The sequence below is a fragment of the Homo sapiens genome, chromosome 6, assembly GCF_000001405.40.
Source record: "Homo sapiens chromosome 6, GRCh38.p14 Primary Assembly".
NCBI classification, from domain to species: Eukaryota; Metazoa; Chordata; class Mammalia; order Primates; family Hominidae; genus Homo; species Homo sapiens.
In genome coordinates, this window is record NC_000006.12 from 30,955,599 (window position 1) to 30,963,458 (window position 7,860).

General features: G+C 46.4%; 1 pseudogene, besides 1 other annotated feature; it reads right to left on the reverse strand.

Moving 5' to 3' along the window:
* Window positions 114-794: an enhancer, noted in NCBI's record as "H3K4me1 hESC enhancer chr6:30923489-30924169 (GRCh37/hg19 assembly coordinates)". NCBI's record gives its function as "activates a minimal SCP1, AML or CMV promoter by ChIP-STARR-seq in naive H9 embryonic stem cells {active_cell/tissue: H9 hESC(naive)}" and the evidence as "EXISTENCE:reporter gene assay evidence [ECO:0000049][PMID:30033119]".
* NAPGP2 (N-ethylmaleimide-sensitive factor attachment protein, gamma pseudogene 2) lies at window positions 5,803-6,380 on the reverse strand (annotated as a pseudogene).

The following is a 7,860-nucleotide window of genomic DNA, read 5'->3' on the forward strand; positions in this document are numbered from 1 at the left end:
GGAATGCGCTCCCCCAGCCCTCGGGGAGTACACCTCGGGGGGAGCGAGTGCCCCGAGGGCAGGAGGCTGCCGGGGCGCCGGAAGCTGCTGTCCCGGCGGAGTCGCAGCGGGGGCTCCGGTTCCCCGAGACTGCGGCCCTCCCTCGTTCCTCCAGGTTCCGCTTTGCGGGCGGCTTCTGATCTCTTGCGGACAGCTCAGATTAGTGGCTCGAGGCCGCCGCCCCCGCAGCGCCCCAGCCCTACTGCGCCGAATCCCCTCCTCCCAGCCCCCAGCCCCCAGGGAGGGGCCTGGACTGACGGGCCTGGGCGTAGCTCCTACCCCCGTGACATTGGCCATAAAACTGACACCCGTTTGTGCTGTGCTTTCACGTACATCGCACCTGTGATCCTCCGATCACCCTGCGAGTTACGAGGCCTGCTTTACAAGCCTTATAAGAAGTTACAGACCTTATAAGAGTTCTTATAAAGCTTGCTTTACAGATGAGAAAACCGAGGCTCAGAGAAGAGCCCTGTTCAAACCCACACGGCTCCTATGGAACAGAAGGCTTGCTTTATTTTCTCCAAGCCTCAATTTCACTTTGTTCCTCAGTGGAGCCAGGTTCTCTGACACCAAGGCAGCCCCACCTGGACGGGTGGGATGTTACAGGGACCACCTAAGGAACAGGGTGTAATTGAGATTTGCACGAGGGTGTCCAGCCCCTTCTTCCAGAGTCCAGGCCTCCCTTTCCAGCTCCTTGAACGTCCAGAGTCTTCTTCTGGCCTCACTGCCAGTATCCCAGGTCAGGGTTTTTTCTGCCAGCCTCTGTCCCCGGAGACACATTAACTGGCCTCATAGTCACAGGCTCTGCATCCTCCCCTCACAGTGCCCAGCTGTCCCTGGAGAGGTGCTGGCAAAGTAAGAAGATCCAATGATTTGGGACACAGTCACCTTCATTTTTCTCCCCTCTGCCTCCTACAAAGGCCTCTGTCCCAGAAATGAGACATCCCAGAGAAAACAGGTTTCTGCTGACCTCTGGCTGGGAGGGTGGGTCTCCTCTCCTCCCACAGATGTGATTCCCTTGTTCTCTCCCGCTCCCTCCTTCTTCCCTCATATTGTCATGGCCTTAAGATACCCCTCCCTGGAGAGGGAGCGTCCAGAAGTTACGGCCTCCCCTGCCTGGTGGCAACTATAAATGCCACAGCTATGGTCAAGTGAGAAAAGAAATTAAGCCAGACATATTGTGGGAGCAACCCTCAGAACCCAGGAATCCAGCATTCCCAGTCCCCACTCACCACTGTCTTGGAACCTACCCCAACTGATCTTACTCCTCCCAGAACCCTGCCCCTGGCAAGCTTTTAATTCTTCCTGCAACTTCATGTCCCATTGAGACACCAGGCATCAAGGCCCCCTCTGGAGCCCATCTGCCCTCTAGAACCCAGGCATTCTAGATAACAACTTCCCACATGGATTATTTCAAGATGAGGTGAGGGAAATTACCTCCCACCTCCTGCATCCAGGTGATGCTTCTCTTTGGAATCTTGAGACTGGTAAGTGAATTATCCATCAATCGGAGAAGACACTGAGGCCACAAAAAGTCTGAAGGAGACAAGGGTTCCTGTCCCAGGCATTCTGTTTGCTTTTCTTATTCTCATTCTTTTGCAAAAGCAAAAAGCAAGCAAAGATGATGAACTTCTTTTTTGCCCCTTTCTGCAAAAGCCAGTACTAACCTTAACCCCCACTAACCACGATTTTGACCCCCAACTTCACCTTGCAGCAAACCCACCTTCATCTTCCCCTTCCAATGCTCCGCTGTAAGCATGAACACAAATAATAGCTGTGTTGTATTTCCTTAGAATCCCGGGTTTAACGGCTGCTCAACAAATGCTTTGTATCTAACTTGAAAATTCTAGTTTCAATATCATCTTTAAATATTTATTAGAGCTAGGCTCCAAGTCTAAAGCCAAGTGAAATGAAAATATCACTTCCAGAAATACTGCCTAAATTAAAATCCTCAGTAGGGCTTTCATAATCCCCGGATAGAGACAGGGAGGGATCCTTCGGATCCCAGGGATACGGGAACTGTGGGTGATATTAGCCTGAAGAGAAGTACAATCCAAATTCCTGTCTTCCTAGCCATTTCACCTGACTTCTCTCCACCTGACTTCTCTCCTTGGTCCCTTCAATGTTTCAAGTTTCTCTGCCTAATGACTACAACCCAATGTCAGGCAGATTTATAAAGCCCCTTCGCTTCCACTGTAGGATGGAATGCCATAAAAAGGGAGCAAGGAGACAGTTGTGGAATTGGAATAAACAGAAACAGCCCTAGGCTGAATGAACAGGAGGCTGCTTTGTGGTGGCTTCTTTGATGTCTGTTTCCTGCATCCTCTCTCTGCTCTCTTATCCCAGGCACTCTCCTGGAGACCCTGCCTTGCACATCCTGTTCTTTTCCTCCTCCCTGCGTCTCTGTGAGCTTGTTCATTTTAAGAGGCCCAAATTATTACTGCAACAGGCAACTTCCAAACTCATATTAAGTCTACCTTGGCTCTGAAATCCAGTCCTTTATTTTCAATTTTTTTTCAATAATATCTTCACTTGGATGTCACATCATATCAAACGTGACATTCACGTGTTCATCTGGCAAACATTTTTTGAGCATCTACTCTGTGCTAGTTCTGAAGATAAATCAGTGAACAAAACAGCAACAGGCCCTGCCTTCAGGGAGCTCACAGTTCACTAGGAAAGGCAGAGATCACACAAAGAAGGCATATAATAAAAGAGAGGCACAAGTGTGCAAAATACTGTCAGGACCCACCTCGTCTTCCCACCATCAAGTCTAAAAAGCCGCCTTCATCAGCATCCATTCTCCCCTGCTAACATTGGAGTGTTCGTGCATCTTGGCTCTGGCTCCCCCATCCCACACCTCCTGCCTTCTTCATGGGCTTCTTCCCCTTCCAGTTTTTCCTTCTCCTTCTACAGGGTCCTTCCCAACACCAGCCAAATAAGCCCTAAGCAGTGTGCACAGGAAGCACCCAGAGGAGAGTATTTTTAAAAAGTAGATTTCTAAAGACCCGGCACGGTGGCTCATGCGTATAATCCCAGCACTTTGGGAGGCTGAGGTGGGCGGATCACGCCAGGAGTTTGAGACCAGCCTGGACAACATAGCGAAACCCCGTCTCTACTAAAAATACAAAACTTAGCCAGGTGTGGTGGTGCACACCTGTAATCTCAGCTACTTGGGAGGCTGAGGCAGGGGAATCACTTGAACCTGGGAGGCAGAGGTTGCAGTGAGCTGAGATCACACCAGTGCACCCCAGCCTGGGTGACAGAATGAGATGCTGTCTCAAAAAAATAAAAAATAAATAAATAAAATGGAGATGGCCACTGGATGCAGTGGTTCAGGCCTGTAATCCCAGCACTTTTGGAAGACAAGGTGGGAGGATTGCCCAAAGCTAGGAGTCAGAGACCTGCCTGGGCGACATTGCGAGACACTGTCTCTATTAAAAAAAAAAAAAAAAAAATTAACAAGTTCCCCAGGCACTCCTGATGTGGTCCAGGGACACACTTTGGAAAGCTCTGCTCTGCTGGCAGCCATCTTCACAGACCCCCACCCACATCTTCTCAGCCTTGCCCCCATCAGCTCCCCTTCATCACCAAGCCTCTTGAAACAATCCCCTACAAACACTATCTTCATGTCCTTATCTCCTACTCTCTGTGTGTATGTATTTTCTCTGCAAGTTTTACCAGAGCAATCCATGTAAATAGTTTAAAGAGTCCAATAGTTCCATAGATTTATTGCAAAAACTAGCACGGATGCACCCTCCCCCTTTTCATGTCCAATTCCTGTTCTCCAGAGGAGACGACTTTTAACTTTTAGCTTTTTATCCCAGTATTTGCAAGTGCAGATTTAAACATCATGCCCATATTGTATTGCAATTCATAGATTTTTTTTAATGAGACCTTAAATTGCGTCTTTTATTGGACTAAAGAATATTGTAAGTCTCAAAATAGCTTCCTGTCCCAATCTCACCTCTGAAAGGACTTACTAATTTAAATATATCTACTATGAACTGAACAGTGTCCCCCCTAAATATGTTTAAGTCTTTTTTCTATTTTTTTTTTGAGACAGGGGCTTGCTCTGTCATCCAAGCTGGAGTGTAGTGGCACAATCATAGCTTGCTGCAGCCTTGACCTCCTGGGCTCAAGCGAGCCTCCCATCTCAGCACTCACCCCTCCCAGAGGCTGCCACCATGCCCAGCTAATTAGTTTTGTTTTAAATTTTAGTAGAGACCATATCTCACTATGTTGCCCAGGCTGGTCTTGAACCCCTGAGCTCAAGTGATCCTCCTGCCTTGGCCTCCCAAAGTGCTGGGATTATAGGCATGAGCCACCGTGCCCGGCTCATATGTTGAAGTCTTAATCATCAATGTGACTATATCTGAAGATAGGGTCTTTAGGAAGTAATTAAAGTTAATGGGGTCATAAGAGTGGTGCCCGAATTCAATGGGACTGTGGCCTTATCAAAGGAGAAAGAGAGTTCTTTCTGTCTTCACTATGTGAGGACACAGCAAGAAGGCAGCCATCTGCAATCCAGAAAGGAGCCCTGACAAGGAACCAAGTTGTCCAGTACCTTAACCTTGGACTTCCCAGCCTTCAGAACTGTGAGAAGACAAATTACCATTGTTTAAGCCACCCAGTTTGTGGTATTTGCTATAGCAGTCCAAGGTGATTAAGACAGTATCCAATATCATGGAGGGATAAATTTTCTTTTCAAAACAAAACTAAAAATATTTTTTAATTCTAATTTTTAAAAATCAGTAAACTTCATTTTAGCAGTAATCATAAAATAAAATGCAAAGGAAATTCTCTAAGTTACATGACTCGAGAGAAAATATCCATATCTATTGTTTCTGTTGTTTAAAACATAATTTATCTAGAATTTGGCTCATAAGTTTTAAAACAAACTGTATGAAAATATGACAGTGCATTTACTGTTAACTCCTGCTTATGTTTTAGAAAGCTCTTATGGAAAGAAAAAAAAAATGCTTTCCAGGTAGCAGACACAGATAGGTTATTTGGGGAATTGATAACTAAAAATTAGAGTCTTATTTTTTATTTTTTATTTTTTTGAGACGGAGTCTTGTTCTGTTGCCCAGGCTGGAGTGCAGTGGTGCGATCTTGGCTCACTGCAACCTCTGCCTCCCAGGTTCAGGCAATTCTTCTGCCTCAGCCTCCCGAGTAGCTGGGATTACAGGCATGCACCACCACACCTGGCTAATTTTTTTTATTTTTAGTAGAGACGGGGTTTCACCATGTTGGCCAGGCTGATCTTGAACTCCTGACCTCAGGTGATCCACCGACCTCGGCCTCCCAAAGTTCTGGGATTATAGGCATGAGCCACCATGCCCAGCCTTAGAGGCTTTATTAGCATTCAAAACCATGGATGCAATGAAGTGTGGAGTACTCTTAAACAAGCTCCAAGTCCATGAAATGCCGTGTCAGAATTTTTCCTTTCCTTTTTGCATAGCAAAGTACTTGCACAATCCCAAATATTTGTCTTCCTGAGCAGCAGCTACAAAGATGATGCCACCAGGCTTGGCCAGGGTAGCTGCTGATTTTCCCTTCTTCCTCCTCCTCTTCTCCTCCTCCTTTTTCTTCTAATTCTTCCTCCTCTTCCTCTTCTCTCTCCCTCTCTGCTTTCTCCTCCGCCTTCTTATTTTCTTAACCATGATAAAATATACATAACTTACAATACATCATTTTAGCCATTTATAAGAGTAAAGTTTAGTATCATTAAGTACATTCATGTGGTTGTGCAACCATCCCTGGTAATTTCTTCTTGATTCTCTGTCCCGGAACTACTAAACTCAGGCTGGGTTTAGCATAATCGTTGCCTGTGTACTTGAAAAGTGGAGAGTTGCTGACCTCTGATGGGTAGCTTGGTCTTGCTGGGCAAACCCTTCTGGAAGCTGTTCTAGCACAGCTCAGCCACCACTTGCACGGACTCCTGCTGTGCTGGAGCTCTCCTGACACAGCTTTCCCAGCTGCACAGTCGTTGCTATGTAGAGGAACTAATACTTGAGCGACTATTTTCTTATAGTTGGATAACTCTGTTTCCTTATAAATATTTTTCTTTATAAATAGAGAGTGCTGTCCCATCAATCCTGCATCCTTATACTAGCAGTCCTGAGGCTTTTCCTAACTGTTCAGCTGCCTGTTGAGGCATTCCACATTTTTAAATGCATTGCTGTTTGTTGGTATAACCGTACAGCCTTTTCTGGGTCTACATTTTCTCTGAGCTTTCCAGCTTGCTCCAATGCCTCTGAGGTTGCTGTGTCAGTGCTGCTGTTTTTTAGATCCATCAAAGGCTGGGATTTCTGCATTTCCTTCAACATTGTGTCAACTAGGTTGGGCGCGGTGGCTTACGCTTGTAATCCCAGCACTTCGGGAGACTGAGGTGGGCGGATCACTTGAGGTCAGGAGTTCATGGCTAACATGGTGAAACCATCTCTACTAAAAATATAAAAGTTAGCCGGGCGTGGTGACGTGTGCCTGTAGTCCCAGCTACTCAGGAGGCTGAGGCAGGAGAATCACTCAAACCCAGGAGGCGGAGGTTGCAGTGAGCCGAGATCACACCACTGCACTCCAGCCTGGGCAAAAAGAGTGAAACTCCATTTAAAAAAACAAAACAAAACAAAACAAAAACAAGAAAACATTGTGGCAATTTGCTCAGAAGCGCTACTTTTCCATATTCAGAAGGGCACTGTCACAGTACGGCTTCCATTTTGAAAAACCAGTCTGCAGGTATTTCTTTGCTTTGGGCCTCTCATTTCTTTTTTGGTCCTGCACATGGTCCTGCATGGAGGACAGGAGGGACTTTTCCTTTTGGCCCCTGAAAGAGTCCCAGTCAGCTATGCATAGGTTTTTCATTTCGGACATCATCCATTTACTTATTCATGGTCTCTCTCCCTTATTTGAATATAAGCTCTGTATCAACTTTTCAATCACTGTATCCCATGCCTGGCACATCATGTGGCCCACAGAAGGTTCTTAAGGAATATGTTTGAATAAATGAATGAGAAGGCCTGGATGCAGAGAGTGTATATCAGAGAGAAACCCAGACTAATCCCCCAGATTCTTCTCTAATCCATTCCCAGTGCTACCACTTAATCTAGTATGTTATACTAGAAGAGTAAATAAATGAAAGTAAGAAAGACAGGAAGGAAGGAGGGAAAGAAGGAAGGAAGGGAGGGAGGGAGGAAGAAGGAAGGAAGGAAGTAAAGAAGGGAGGAAGGAATTAAAGAAGAAAGGAAGGAAGAGAAAGAAAGAAAAAGAAAGAGAGAGAAAGAAAGAAAGAAGGAAAGAGAGAGAGAGAGAGAGAGAGGGAGGGGGGAGGGGAGGGGAGGGGAAAGGAGGGGAGGGGAAGAAATCTTCCCAAGGACTTTTCCCCCTAGTATCTCCTTGTGTCTCTTTACAAACTGCCTAACTCATCAACTTTCACCACCTGAAGAGGCTGGAAAAAAGCTGGCCTCCTGTGAATTTTACACCCCGGTGCTCTCAGATGGTGGATGAGAACCTGCAGGCTCCCTTCAGGCAGGGATCGTGTGCTGAACGTCCCAAAGAGTGATGGGGGACTTGCACCAGAGTGTCTCTGCTCAAGCTGCCCTCCTATGACCTCCTTGTCACTTCCACCCAGACAAGGGGATTCTTCTGATCAGTCCAGATGACCTGGATGAAGTTTTCTTTCTTTCTTTCTTTTTTTTTTTTTTTGAGACAGAGTTTTGCTCTTGTTGCCCAGGCTGGAGTGCAATGGCACGATCTCGGCTCACTGCAACCTCTGCCTCCTGGGTTCACGCAATTCTCTTCCCTCAGCATCCTGAGTAG